Source organism: Homo sapiens, chromosome 11, assembly GCF_000001405.40.
Source record: "Homo sapiens chromosome 11, GRCh38.p14 Primary Assembly".
Taxonomy (NCBI): Eukaryota; Metazoa; Chordata; class Mammalia; order Primates; family Hominidae; genus Homo; species Homo sapiens.
In genome coordinates, this window is record NC_000011.10 from 33,638,417 (window position 1) to 33,653,958 (window position 15,542).

The 15,542-nt window shown below is 42.8% G+C and overlaps 1 protein-coding gene across 8 annotated transcripts in view, besides 2 other annotated features; it reads left to right on the plus strand.

Moving 5' to 3' along the window:
- The window catches only part of KIAA1549L (KIAA1549 like), a 297,995-nt gene that overhangs the window by 262,309 nt on the left and 20,144 nt on the right, over positions 1-15,542 (plus strand). For all 8 annotated transcript variants that reach the window (XM_047426719.1, XM_005252848.4, NM_012194.3 and 5 more), the window contains one exon: positions 7,270-7,620. In XM_047426719.1, the coding sequence (XP_047282675.1) occupies positions 7,270-7,620 (351 nt within the window). The remainder of the gene's footprint in view (positions 1-7,269; positions 7,621-15,542) is intronic.
- Positions 7,021-7,522: an enhancer, noted in NCBI's record as "H3K4me1 hESC enhancer chr11:33666983-33667484 (GRCh37/hg19 assembly coordinates)". NCBI's record gives its function as "activates a minimal SCP1, AML or CMV promoter by ChIP-STARR-seq in primed H9 embryonic stem cells {active_cell/tissue: H9 hESC(primed)}" and the evidence as "EXISTENCE:reporter gene assay evidence [ECO:0000049][PMID:30033119]".
- Positions 7,523-8,022: an enhancer, noted in NCBI's record as "H3K4me1 hESC enhancer chr11:33667485-33667984 (GRCh37/hg19 assembly coordinates)". NCBI's record gives its function as "activates a minimal SCP1, AML or CMV promoter by ChIP-STARR-seq in primed H9 embryonic stem cells {active_cell/tissue: H9 hESC(primed)}" and the evidence as "EXISTENCE:reporter gene assay evidence [ECO:0000049][PMID:30033119]".

The window sequence follows — 15,542 nt, forward strand, 5'->3', positions numbered from 1 at the left end:
ATAAATAAAAAAAAAAAAAATAAATAAATAAATAAATAAATAAAATACTCATCTATGAGTATTTTATTCTCTTTTATACTGGGTACTATTCCATTTTATAAATATAATACTATTTGTTTATCCATTATCCTATTGTTGGACATTTGGATTGCTTCCAGTGTGAAGCTAGTATGAAAAAAAAAACTGCCATAAACATTTTCATGTGTTTTCTTAACAAGTGTTTTCATTTATTTTGGATAAATATGTAGGAGTGGAATTTCTGGGTCATAGGGTAGGTATATGTTTAAGAAATTGTAGTCAAATTTACAAAGTTTTTGCACTGTTGCCTCTCCCACTAGCAGTATAACAGTTCTAATTCTAGTCTTAAACCTCACCAACATTTGTTGTTATTAATCTTTCTCATTTTAGCCATTCCACTGAATATGAAATGATATAATTTCCTTATTCCTAATGATGTTGATCATCTTTCCACGTGTTTATTGGACATTTTTGTGTCTTCTTTCATTGAGGTATCTTTTCAAGCCTTTTGCCCAATTTCTAAATTGAGTTGCTTGTCTTTTTGTTATTCATTTGTAGGAACTATTTATATATTGTGGATACAAATCCTAATATTTTCTTGTGGTTGGTAGCTTGTCTTTCCATTAGTTGTCTGATAAGATAGTAGTTTTAATTTTGAATAAGACTTAAAGCTACAGAATGTGCCCCAGGACTAAATTGTTTTGGAATATTTTTTAGGAAGAAGATACTTGGGGTTCCCAGCAGGGCTACAATTTTCTTCAAGTTTGTTCTCATGGTGTTTCAAAGAGAGGATGAAGTCGTGGGTACTTAGCCACTGTGTGCACTATTGTAGATGTATTGGACTGGTTCACTCATTTTAAAACAACATTAAAAGAATTCCAGGTGCTTCCTCTATCCAATGGCCACCATGAAGCGCAAGACCAGGGGCCCATGTGTGGAAGAGGAATGGCTTAAATCTCTTCTAAATACTGTGGCCTTTGCTACTGAGTTCTGATATACCATAACTCTCCAAAACTATAATTACGTGTATATCCTCTCACCTGGTAATTCTCCTTCTAGAAATTTAACCTAAGGATAAACTCATGATTATATGCAAAGTTCTTTTATTATTATTATTATTTTTGAGATGGAGTCTCGCTCTGTCACCCATGCTGGAGTGCAGTGGTGTGATCTTGGTTCACTGCAACCTCCGCCTCCCGGGCTCAAGCGATTCTCCTGCCTCAGCCTCTGGAGTAGCTGGGATCACAGGCGCGCGCTACCTCGCCTGGCTAATTTTTCTATTTTTAGTAGAGGCGGCATTTCACCATGTTGCCCAGGCTGGTCTCGAACTCCTGACCTCAAATGATCCGCCCGCCTTGGCCTCCCAAAGTGCTGGGATTACAGGCATGAGCCACTGTGTCCAGCCATATATGCAAAGTTCTAAACACAAGGATACTTACTCCAGCTTTGTTCATATAGTAAGATATTAGGAAAACACCTAAAATAGTGGACTATTAAATATATGGTAGCCTAAAAACTCCATTTATTAGAATGCTATGAAATCCTTATTCTCTATACATTTATTTATTGATGGAGATACTTACTTACAATATTGTTGAATTAAAAAGGTTTCAAAATATTGTAATGTCATTTTTAAAAACCTTATATATGTGTGCATATATATATTTATGCCTGCATATATGTGTGTGTGTTTACATATATATAAAATATACATATATGCCTACATATATATGTATATGTGTGTATGTATTCTGTTTATAAAATCATGACCCAAACAGCTCAGTCTGAGAGAGTATCTAAGTCAAAAGAACTCTGCCAACAAAAGTAATTTTAAAATACCTCTACTCCTTTACTTATATTTTTATATGTGAGAAGGCAAATACATCATACTCAGTAAAACTTTCTAAATTCCCTTAATTACTCTGCCATTCACATGCCACACCTGCTTCTGCACCTCTCTTGAAAATCTCACTATAAAATTCTGCAGTCCACACCTCTTCTGCCTCTCATTGCCCATCCCCACTTCCTAGTCTCCATCACGCACACAATCTATGTGGCAAAGCGTGGGCTCTCCTTGGAAGTGGAAGAAGGAGAAACTGACCTGGGTCAAGCTCACACTCTCTGTAGTGGCCTGGGGCAGTGGGGAGAGCGTTGGCAGTGCTTTAGCATTCATAATCCTCATCCTATTTCATATGCATAGAAAACATCTGGAAGGATGTGCACGACGTAAAAATGTTAACGGTAGTTATTTCTGGCGATCAGATTAGAGTAGATTTTAATTTTCTTCCTTTTGCTTATCTGTGTTTTCTAATTTCCGACCATGAACAGACATTCCTCGATGAATATTTTTAGAATTTTTATTGAAGTATATCTTGATTAATTTATAAAAACAGCTTTTTGAAAAAAATGAGTTTCTCAGAGCTTTTCAAGAATAGGAAGTCAGAGAAGCAAGTATGGTCCATTCCAAGTTAAAGAGGTTTAAAAATACATTCTGTGTCCCAGATACGGTCCCAACCCAAGCCAACTGTCAGCCAACACTGGGAGATTTGTCTTTGTTCCTGTCTCCCCTCTTTTGTCAAATAAAAGCAAAAGGCATTTTCAGAAATATGCCAGTGAGGGAGAAGGGTTTAGGGCAAGTTCAGCCAGTAGATGTGATATCTCATATCTGAAAATGGACACAACTGCAGAGCTCCGAGAGACTGAGTGAGGAAACCCACGTGGAAAAGCCAGCACAGAGCTGGCACACCACAGGTCCTCGAGTCAATTTGAGCACCTACTATATTTGTTCGCTAAACAGACAATTACAGCTTCACCTCTGGGGAAGGTCCCGGATTGGGGGCTGTGAATACAATGATTATAAGACACTGACCCAACCCTGAAGGAGTTCCCAGTCTATGGAAGGAGACAGATAACAGCAACAATAATAATTGCAGCTAACATTTATTAAACAAATGCTGATGTGCCAGATACTGTGGCACATATATAATATAAATGCTTTGTATTTATACATTGATGCTTTTCATCCTTATAGTAATCTATAAGGTAGATTATCTCAATAAGTATTTTATCTTCTTTTCTGGTCACAGAAATTTGTTTGACTCTGTCAGAGCCCACAACTATAGTATGGTAATGGATCTGTATATATATATATATATATATATATATATATATATATATATATATATATATATATATATATACACAGTGGGTAAGAGCTTAGGTGACGGAATCAAACTGTCTGTGTTCAAATCTCAGTCCTGCTAATTATGGGGAACACATTTGTCTTTCAATGCCTTAATTTCCTCTTCTGTAAAGTGGGAATATTCATAGTTGTTACTTCATAAGTTCTTATAAGGACAAAAAGAGCCGATATGTTTAAAGTACTTAAAACAGTGCCTGGCATGTAAGCTGTTAATAAATATTAGCTGCTATTATTGGTATTGTTATTATTTGTTTCCTGCCATTGACTGGGAGCTCCTTGAGGGCTGGGTCACTATCTTATTAAGTATTGTATCCATCACCCCCAACCCAGGGTCTAGTACAGGGTTGAAACCAATAATTGTCTGTTAAGCAAAAGGACAAACTTATCACTACTCAATATGTTTTAGTGGGGGAGGGAGGTGCAGGGATGTTTCTCTTCATGAGTAGATGTCAGATTCCCCCAAAGATGATGATAATAGGAGGAGTATGGCATCTCCTAGAGCAAGTAGAGTCCAAGAAACATAAATGTCAGACCATAGTTCAACTCTCCCATTTTACAGATGAGGAGCCTGAGGCTTAGGGGGTTCCTGCAACTTCTTATTGTCATGCAACTCATTAGCATTGGAAGAAATGTGTTAGGGAAAGTGGGCCTTTTACCTTAACCTCAACTTCCACCTCAAGGGTGTTATAAATAAAGTTACGGTGCTGCAAAAGAAATAGCACTTGAATGTAAAATTTTCTTTTCAATTCTCAGCAAGGCAAGTTACTTCTATAGAAGGGTGCACCCTTATAGATGGAGCAATGGTGAGCGCACACTTGGATAAGGGAGGGGAAGGGGTTCTCACCCCTGACGCATGTGGCCTCTGCTGCTGTATCGTTCCCCTATTGGCTAAGGTTAGACTGCACAGGCTAAACTAATTCCGATTGGCTGATTTAAAGAGAGTGACGGGGTGAGTGGTTTGGGGGGGTGGAAATGGTTATGACAGAGCAGGTAATTGGAATGAGTCAGGGTAGAGTAGGTAATCAGAATGAGTCAGGGTGGAGCAGGTAATCGGAATGAGTCAGGGTGGAGCAGGTAATTGGAATGAGTCAGGGTGAACCAGGTAATCGAAAAAGGTTTCTTTACAAGGAAGTTAAGTTTAAAAGTAGAAGGCAAAGAATTGAGCATACTGACATACTGATTCTTTGAAAAGAAATTTAGAACTTCTATCTATCTAACAAGGGGAAGTGGACAGAATTTATTTCAGTTTAAGTTCACAAAGCTTGATTGAATGCCAAGTGCCTGTGCTAGGCTCCTGAGAAACAGAGGTGAAATGGGTTCAGGGAGTATCCAGTCTTGGGGAAGTCATACTTTAAGTAAGCAAATCCAAGTGTGATGAGAGGAAGCCAGGTATAATGAGAGCTAGTCTTGTTTCTATCTGTAGCTATCGAGAGATGATTGGTGGCCGCATCAAGCCTGTGGAGAGTATACTTGGACCTTCCAATTAAAGGGAACTCCCCATGCAGAATGGAAACCCTGTGGGGGAAGCAGAGGCTGATCTTCATTTGGGGATCATGGGGTAGGTGGCAGTGGGAGCCTGGAGAAAAAGTCTCCACCTTCCCAGCAAAGGTAGCACTTATGTATGTGTGTATATATATAACATATATATGTGTGGTGGCCTAGCACTCCCCTACCAACCTTACTCGGAGAACTCACCCACCCCCAGTACTACCCCACCCCAGGGCTCTTGGGGCAGTGGGAATAGGGAGATGTTGCTAAGGAGTATGCTTTTGCCCTAAGGCACAACTATAAATTCATGTGATAATAGATCTACCAATATGTCTGGAAATGCACAGCACAGCTCAGGGGTGGGGAAATTGTACCTCAGCTCACCCCTGTGCTGTTAATCTCCCACCTGGGAGCAGTTGAGCATTAAGCCTCCGTTATGTATCAGGGAGACTCTGGATGTAGGGAGGAAGGGCCTTGTGTGGCTAGCAACCAGCATGAACAGGACATTTACATGAGAGGCAGTGCCGTGCTGCAGGATGTGCATGGGTCAGGAGCTGGGAGCAGGAGGCTCTGCCATTGCCTGCTTCTGCATAACTTTAGATAAGTCACCTCCCCATATGTAAAATGGGGCTTGAGTTTAATGATCTCCTAAAGTCCCTTCAGGCTCTGAAATTCAGTTCTGAATGTTCTATGCATTGTGAAGAACGTAACTTTCAAGGGTTGCATTCGTGTTCTAGAAGGTATCGCCAGGCAAAACCACATCTCAACAGGCAGATCTGCTGGCTTTCAGGGAGCACATTTCCCACTCAGCGACCTTAAGCTTTTTCTCTTAAGAGCTTCTAAGAGCAGAAGAGCCCCAATATGTCCCCCAGCCCAGGAGTTTGGGGGGCATGCACCCAGGCATGAAATGTCTTTGAGTTCTTGTTTATGATCGCAAAGGTAACTTTACATTCTACTCCAGAATCTGTCCTTGCTCTTATTAGTATAAAAATATTACAATATTTTAAATTACTTACTGTAGATGTTTGTTGATAAATCTAGACTTAGAGGCTGATAGAAAACCTCACTTTTCATCTTGAACTTTAGCCAAGTCCTAACTCTAGGAGATAAGATGACAAGAAACGTGTAATTTTTTTGTGCTTTCTATATTTTCACTTTCTTTGCTAATGAGCATGTATTAATTTAATGCTAAAAAGGTAAATATACTTTTTAAAATGAAGTATAATGCAGTTATGACCTTCATGTGTAATATTTAAGGAGGGAAGGACTCCCCATTTTGGGTGAATTCCCTCATTTACTTGCTGTGCTTATTTTATATATCAAGGTGCTTTATACATAGTAATTACATGGAAATATGTGTGGTTGAATGAATAAAGTAATAGTGATGATTATGATGATGACAGCAACTAGTATTGTTTTTACCATGTGCTACTATTCTAAAATCTTTAGATGTACCTTTATTTAATCCTTATAAAAGCCTTTGAGGCAGTATTATCCTCATTTTACAGATGAGGAAACTGAAATACCAGAAAGTTAAAGTAACTCTCCTGGTTGGAATGTTTTGAACACCCTGTCTTTTATCTTCTCTGTGCACCTTTATGGGGTCTAGCTATTGCTGTGGCATCCGCCACAAGGCAGCAGCCTCCCCATATTGCCTTGGCAGTCCCTATCTCTTCCCTTCTGTGTTCTTGCACCTTGAGATTCATGCACGTCCAGACTGGTGGAATAAACTCCTACAGGCATCCCCACCTAATGATGGCACAGAAGCCTCAGAGCAAGAAAGCAGACACTTACGAAGCAAGCATTCATTAGCAGGCAAGCACGAGACCGTCCATGCAGCCTGTTCTGGAAGCTTATGAAGTTCCAGCTGTCTGCCCACCCTGGTACTGAAGCTGCTCGCTGGAATGAAAGGTTCAGTGAAGAAAGGCAGGAGAACGTTCTAGATCAGTAGATTTCAAATTTGAACAGGCATCGGAATCTCCTGGCGGGCTTATTAAAGCACAGATGGCTGGGCCTCACCCCCAGAGCTTCTGATTGCGTACCACGCTTTAAGAGCTGTGATCTAGAAGCAGGATTTTGTTATTCTGTCTGATAAGTAGCATCAGGCAATCAGCACTTCCTTAACCAAAGGCTGGACACAGGACCATTTAGGGAGTGAATCTAGAATGCTACCCCTCCAGGTGTAGATTACAAGACATTCCAGGGTCTTATACCCTAAGGCATAGGGGTGGGGAATGTCTCTAAAAGATTTTAGAAAGTACCGTTAATGTCATCGGTGAAAGCCATTTCTCGAGTCTGTTACACTAACAGGCAGAGCCTGCAGCATTGGTCAATCTATGGGCAACTGAAGTGCACACCGATAGCCAGAGTGTGGCCTTCCTGATAGAGTGCTGGCTGAGTACCCCAGTAGTGTGAATTCCTAGATAGGGCACGTAGGATATAATTTAAATTAGCACAGATGCATCCTAGCACCTGTCCAAGTGAATGTTTTAGAGTAAATTACAGAGCACCTTCACGGGAAGGAAAGTAAACACATCAATGGGCTTTGTTTCCTCCCACAGACTGAGCCTGAAATCATAGAGGAAACCAACATTGACAGAGTTCCTGAGCCCCGGGGCTATTCCAGGTCTCGACAGGTGAAAGGCCACTCGGAGACCTCCACACTGAGCTCCCAGCCATCCATCGACGAGGTCAGGCAGCAGATGCACATGCTGCTGGAGGAGGCCTTCAGCCTGGCATCCGCGGGCCACGCAGGCCAGAGCCGGCACCAAGAGGCCTACGGCTCAGCCCAGCACCTGCCCTATTCGGAGGTGGTGACCAGCGCTCCGGGGACCATGACGCGGCCCAGGGCCGGGGTGCAGTGGGTGCCGACCTACCGCCCAGAAATGTATCAGTACAGTCTGCCCCGGCCGGTAAGTCATTCATTCCACCCACCTGCCATCATCTGGTCAGTCTGCCCAGTGAGTTCCAACAGGAGACTCAGAGCAGGGGCTTCTACAGATAAAAAGCTTTGGGATCTGGAGATGAACTATGCCAGGCCCTCATCCCATCATCCCATCTTCCACCCATGATCCAAAGCCTAAGCTTTTTGACTCCTGTGGACAATGCACGTGAGAATCCCTTCTTTCCAGCCATAATGTATTTTAGAATGAATTGCCTTTTCTACTATCCCTTCTATAAATGGCTGACCATATTCTTCACGCACTGGTGGTTTCCTACACTTTCAAGCCTGAGACCCATTTTAAATATCAAAAGGCATCTCAGAGCCACATGCTAAGGGGTTGTGTGGCCTGGTGGTTTAAGCGCACAGGCTTTGAGCCAGATGGCTCGAATTTAAATCTCAGGTCTACCAGATGAAAGTTGACAGAATCAGAATGGAATCACTTGTGTTAAATAAAATTAAATGAAAAATTTTGAAAACCTGGCAAATAGAGCCAAGGAAGGCCAGGGAGAGTTTCATGCATAAATCCATGATAGCAAGAACTATCATAAAAGACTCTGCAAAAATCACAATCTTGCACAAAGGCCATTGCAACCTTACACACACACAAAATACTTGTGCGAGGACATCTGTCCAGCAACTGCCTGTCCAGGCTTGGACTGGTACCACACTCGTCATTGATTTTTGCAGCCAAGAATAATTATTTCAAAACAATTATGCAATCCTCCCTCTTTTTCCTTTAAAAACTTGTGTCTTCCTTTGCCTCCCTGAACACAGTTTACTATGGCATGGGTATTCCCATTGCAATAACCATTCCCAAATAAACATCATTATTTTTAGAGACCAAAAAAAAAAAAATCTGTTATTTAGGTTGACAGCCACTTCCTGGCTTTGTAACTTGGGGAAATTGTTTAAATTCTTTACAAATAAGAAAAATAAGCTACGTCCTAGACTTGTAAAGATTAAATGAGTTGGTGTATGTAAGGTACTATAAGAATGCTTGGTACGTAGGAAATGCTATAAAAATATTAATCATGGGTTGGACATGGTGGCTCACACCTATAATCCCAGCACTTTGGGAGGCCAAGATGGGCCGATCACTTGAGCTCAAGAGTTCGAGACCAGTCTGGGCAACGTGGTGAAACCCCATCTAAACAAAAATTAGCCAGGTGTGGCGGCATGCGCCTATAGTCCCAACTTTTTGGGAGGCTGAGGTGGGAGGATTGCTTGAGCCCAGGAGGCAGAAGTTGCAGTGAGCCAAGACTGTGAGACTGTACTTCAGCCTGGCTGACACAGTAAGACTCTGTCTCAAAAAAAAAAAAAAAAAAAAAAGAATATTCATTGTGATTATTTATTAAGTAGCAATTACATTTCCATATTTGAAAAAGCATCCAATGACTGAAAGCTTCTGTAATTTACACTTGATCTTTGTATCACAAAAACCGAGAAGTTATAAGTTTTTGTGACTTAAATCACAATTTTAATTAGTTTGCATTTCATTCATCACCATAGCATCTAAAATATATATTTTTAAAAAGACATAGTTTTATAAACCATAGACTGTAATAGACAATGCCTTGTGCATGTATAGATGCCAGATTCTAGGAATCTGGGATGAGTTCTGGGTTTCAGAGAGAAAGGCCTAGACAGCCAGATCAAGTCTTCCAACAGGTAAGAAGATGCGATGGCCCATAGCCATCGTATCTCAATTTTGTAAAACCATCTAAAAAAAAAAAATCCATTGTGGGTCATATGATGAAAACTTAAATGGTTCTGCTTATTATAATTGGGGCTTAGTGTTTGTGGCAAGAAGGACAAAAACATCAGCATTATATATATATTATAAATGAAGCCACCTACAGTGGAAAAGGACTGTGAAATAACACAACAGAGAGATGGGTCATCAAACCAGAACTAACCTTTTCTTTTCTTTTCTTTTCTGAGACTGAGTCTCACTCTGTCACCCAGGCTGGAGTGCAAGTGCAGTGGCGCAATCTTGGCTCACTGCAACCTCTGCCTCCCAGGTTCAAGCAATTCTCGTGCCTCAGCCTCCCGAGTAGCTGGGACTACAGGCGCATACCACCACACCCAGCTTTTTTTTTGTATTTTTAGTAGAGAGGGGGTTTCACCACGTTGGCCAGGCTGGTCTCAAACTCCTGACCTCAGGTGATCCACCCACCTCGGCCTCCCAAAGTGCTGGGATTACAGGCGTGAGCCATCATGGCTGGCCGAATCAGAACATTATTAAACGCAGTCTTTTGTTATTAAGGTTTCCTTCTTTATCAACAACCTGTGAGGTCCGTATTTTCAGGAAAGGAGAAAATAGCTAACAATACAGAGTAGAAATGATGATGATTCTTAACCCAAGCTCATGCAGAGTCCTTTTGTGCTTTGATAATGTGGAAATCCATAGAAAAGGTGGCAATTTAGAATGATAACTATGATTACTTTCTGTCTTCTAAAGAGGAGGTGCTTTGAGCTCTGCCAGAAGATAATTGGAAGCTGGTGGTTTAAATACACTAGGCCAGGCTAATGGCATTTATACCATGGAAAAGGTTACTGCTGGTGGCCTGGGATTTCTGCACTGCAGTTCAGGAGACTCTTGATCATATTTTACCCGTTAACTCTGTGAAGAAATTGGACTCCACATCTAATGTCCAATCCAATTTTGCTAGCAGTCATAATGGATCTATGCCAAGCAGAATTAAAACATCCTACAGCCTTCCTGTTGTTGGGAGACAAGAAGGGGATTTCAAAAAAGACAACAGGGCTAACACATCTTCCCCACTAGACTCTTTACAGATGGAATTAATGGTAATAAAAATAACAGCAACAGTTGGCATCTGTTGAGCTCCCATTGTCTACTGGACACAGCTAAGTGCTATGTAGAAATTATCTCTTCTAATCCGACAACCACCCTTTGAGATCAATATTATTATCCCAAAGTACTCAGTGAGGAAACTGAAGCTTGGAGAAGTAAAGAAACTTGCCCAAGTTTATGCAGCAGTAAATGGCAGAACTGGAGTTAGAACCTAGAGCTGCCTAACTTCAAATCCCACGCTCTTTCTACCCGCTGGGTGACTTATAGGGACATCTTCCAGGCTCTGATGAGAACTTGAATATCCAAACTTTGGAATATAATCTTCTTATAAGGAAGCTTACCCAAGGCTGGGCTTTGTGGCTCATGCCTGTAACCCCAGCACTTTGGGAGGCTCGCTTGAGACCAGGAATGTAAGACAAGCCCTGAGCAATATAATGAGATCCTGTCTCTACGGGGGAAAAAAAAAAAAAAAAAAAAAATTGGCTGGGCCTGTAGTCCTAGCTACTTGGGAGGCTGAGTTGGGAGATCTCTTGAGTCCAGAAGTTCAAGGTTGCAGTGAGCTATGATGACACCATTGTACTCCAGCCTGGGTAATAGAGCAAGACCTTGTCTCTATTGTAAAAAAAAAAAAAAAAAAAAAAGAAGCAGCAGCAGCAGCAGCTTACCCAGTTGGAGTTTTGTCCATTCTTATCATTGCCCTAGTAAGGGAGGCATCTCCATTAGGGTAAAATTGGGAATTTTATGGTCTTTTTTTCCTCCTCTCCTCATAAAAACAAACAACTCCCCCCAAGCCTTTGTTAATGAGGAAATATGCAGATATATCAGCTATGACTTCGATTCTGCCGCAACACTTGGATTCAAGAAGTGTTGCATTTCTGCATCTGTAGTTCCAGCTACTAGGAGGCTGAAGTTGGAGAATTGCTTGAGCCCAGGAGTTCGAGGCTGGCCTGGGCAACACAGCACAATCCCATCTCAAAAAAAAAAAAAAAAGGAAAGAAAGAAAAAAGAAAAAGAAATGTTACATTTCTTGTGTTTCTCCAAATCAATTTGAATCTATTCTGAACTCCCATCTGGCCCAGGGCGTGAGAGATTCAATGCCAGTTATTCTGGGGCTCCTTCCACCTCTGGTTATACAAAAGTTATTAGTGGTTTGATGAAGTGAGGTCCTCACCCGGAAGGAGAGGACCTGCACCAGTCACTGTTGACAGAGCATGGTCCAGCTCGCAGGAGTCCTTGAAGGCAGGCCATTCTATCATAGCTGGACCAGATATGATTCTATCTATCTGGGCCAGATTGGGAATGGGGCTCTCTGCCTTGGAACGGCCCCAAGAAATCCTTCCCTGTAAGTCACCTACCTCTGGTAAATAAGTACCCTTATAAGCTTAGAAAAATCCTTATAATGAGTAAAATCCACAGTTGGTACAGCAAGGCTGTGTGAGAAGGGAGAGAGGGAAGGTGGGAGAGGAAGGCTGGAGAATCCTTATCTCAGCCCACAAACTCAGATGGGCAAGAAAAGTAACTTTATTTTTCTGTGATCTTCTCTGCGTGCCAGAAGCTCAGTCTCAGTTCAGGCTCTTCCTCCGTATTTTATGGGGACCTACATGATGTTGGGTAGGGGGAAGGCTGCAGTATCTGGTCCCTGTTTGTCCTCATCTCACCATTCCAGCTGGTGTCCCTGAGAAGCCCTTGTTCCCACCTTTTCTCGGGTTGCCCGTCCAGGCAGAGCATAGCCGTATCCTCTTTCTCCTACTCAACACGCCGTCACCAGATTCTTCCCTTCCTTCCTTCCATGCTTGTGTGTGTTCAGGTGAGCTCACTCTGTCCCTTGCTCTGTCATTCTCTTGCTCAAGCACACGTGCACACACACGCACCTGCCCCTCTCCGGTGGCTTCTTTGCCACCACACAGGACTGTTAAAGGCACTTCTGGTCTACTTCCATACCACCATACTCTTCTTTTCCTGCACCCCGTGGAAGGAGGGGGAATTTTGTGCTGTTGCTGATTCCTGGCCTTTCCTAGAGGCAGACACAGGTTCCTTGTCTTTCAGATTCCCCAAATTTTGATGAGACTTATGTCCTCTCCTCCACTTCTTCCCCCAGGGTGAGACAGGACAGAAGGCCCCTTTTCCAGGCCCACTGGCATCTAACCTCTTGCTTCCTCTCTGGCTCTCCTCTCCTTCCTATCCACAGAGTGTAAATGTACCTCGCTTCTTTGAAATCTCTTGTTTATGGCATCAAACTGAGTATTTTAGGACTTAGATATTCAAAATCCTAGGTTCTTGCAATTTAGTAGCTTTCGCTTATGAAACTCTGATAAGAATAGTCAGGCGGATCACAAGGTCAGGAGTGCAAGACCAGCCTGGCCAACATGGTGAGACCCCATCTCTACTAAAAATAGAAAAATTAGCCAGGCATGGTGGTGGATGCCTGTCATCCCAGCTACTCGGGAGGCTGAGGCAGGAGAATTGCTTGAACCTGGGAGGCAGAGGTTGCAGTGAGCCGAGATCACGCCATTGCACTCCAGCCTGTGCAAAAGAGCAAGACTCTGTCTCAAAAAAGAAAAAAAAAAAAAAGAATTGGCTCTTGTGCCCTCCTCAGTCTTTTGTGCCTCCTTCTTCCCTGGGACAGGGAAAGGGCCCTAGATTCGAAGAACTATGGAGGAAAAATGACTACGATTACTGCTGAGCATCCCAAATTCTTTGGGACCCCTTTACCAGTCCCTCCAACCACAGGCTGTCCCCTGCAGCCTGTTACCCCTGTAGTGCCACCCTGGAGGTTTATCTTCACCAGATCCCTCCTCCTGGGTAAATGCACATGCACAGAAGAGACCAGCATGCACTGGGGCTCGTCAGAGCTCCCTCTCCACTGGGAATGCTAGAGAGTATGGCACTGACCCACTTCCCTCATTCCCTCCCGAGGGACACTCAGCACTGAAACTTCAAACAGACTGTGGTCCCCTCCCCCTCCCATTCCCCTCCCCTCCCCTCCCCCCCTTTCTCCTCCCCTCCCCCCCTTCCCCTCCCCTCCCCTCCCCCTCCCTCCCTCCCTTCCTTCCTTCGTTCCCTCCTTCCTTCCATGTTACAACCAAACTTCTGAGCTCAGAGAGTGCTCTCTTCTGGTCACACACAGCCTCCTTCAGCCTCAGAGACCTGCAATCTGACTGCCTTCAGTCCTGAGTCTTTTATCTCCTTCCTGGCCAGAGGGCAGGGACCCCAAAAGACGGGGTCCTTAGGTTTTCCTCACAGCCAGCATCGTGGCACTGGGAACTTGGAACCTGGCAACAGTTTCGTGCAATAGCTTCCAATGGATTCCTGTCACAGAGCAGCCAGGAGAGAGCCAGATTCCAAATACATGAGGCAGGAAACTAGAAGGCAAAGACAAGAGGACTTAGAACCAGGGGGAACATGCACAGGAGTGGGTAGAAGACACCCTGGGGGAGGATTCCTTCAACCACGAGCACGTGGCACAGGCTGCCCCCTCTGTGTTTTGTGTGGCTCGCTGTCCTGGGGCCCCGAGGATACAGCCCAAAAGGGTCTGCCTGATCTCCTGTGCCATCTTGCTTTGTACCTGGCAAAATCTTCAAGAAGGGAATTCCCTTGCTGCTTGTCAGAAGTTCAGAATTTTTCATCAGTTCTCTTGGTGAACTGCTATAGGACATCCACAGACATAGAAAGCCTTTTCTTGGCTGGGAAACTCTGCTGACTACAGAATAAGCCTTCCAACAACCTGAGATAAAAATAGGTTGTCTGTCTCCTCCGCTGAATAGCATGAGAGGCCAGAAGAGAGAAGAGGGGCTGTAAATCTCCTTTGTCTATTTTGGGAAAGAAGTGCCTCACTTGGTTTATTGATAGTCATGGAGGGTAAAGCTGGAAGGACCTCCAGGACAAGGATTTGCTAACTGTCTGCAGAACCTCAGGGTTCAGGGAGGTCCTCAGGGGGTCATTAGACAGATAAGTGAAGGGCCAAATTCACCAGGGCACCTCCTCCCCAACTTCAACCAGAGAAGCCCTGCTTTCGTCTGTCTATGTATTAGGGTCTGCTGGAATGGTGTCATGGCTAAAGAAACGTTTGGAAGCTTGTGAGATAGGCCAGTGCCTTATTTCACAAGGAAAGCAAAACAAAACAAAACCAAAACAAGGTTCAGAAAGGCTGAATGACATATCCAGAGAAAGTGAATGGCTGAATCAAGATAACAGCCTGAGTTGCCTTACTCCTTGTTCACTCAGCATTCATTCAGAAAATAGTTACGTAACATGGCTAGGGGCAAGATATTTTGCTTGGTGATGGGGGACTACTGTAATAAGACAGACCTGGTTACTGCACTCCAAGGCATTTAGGATGTAGTGGAGCTGAAGATTTGGTTCCCTGAATGCTGTCTTAGCATACATTGTTTACTGATGCTCAAAAAAAATTGGAAGTACAGCACAGCAACGTAGCTTTCCAAATTGATTCAGTCAGTACTTCTGGATCTGGGCAGATGTTTTCTTTCATTCTTGTTCTAGAAAGATAGTATTGCTGACACACTTCTAGGTTGACTCCTCTCTGAGCACTTTGCATTCCATGTCTTCTGGGTGCTAACGAGAAGCCATTTGTTAGTGTCATTGCCATCCCTTTGTAGGTGATAGGCCTTTTGGGCTGCTTTTAAGATCTCTTTGCCTTTGGTATTGTTTCACTACAGTGTATCTAGATGTGTGTTTTACTTTATTGATCCTACTTGGGATTATTAATTTACTTATTTTATCAATTCTGGAAAATTCTTAGCCATTGCTTCTTCAAATACTGCCTTGTCTTTGTTTTCCTTCTTCTCTCCTTTGGGACTTCGGTTAGCTGCATGTTAGACCTGCTCATTCCATCCTCTGTGTCTTGTATTTCTCTTTTATATTTTCTATCTTCTCGGCCCATTGTGCATCATTCTTAGTAATTTCCCCAATTCCATTTTCTAGTTTATTAATTCTCTATTTGTGATTAATCTATTATTTACTTCCTCTACACTGAATGTTTTTATTTTAATAATCATGTTTCACTTCTGAAAGTTCTATTCTTTTTCAAATCTGCTGGATCATTTCTAATAGTA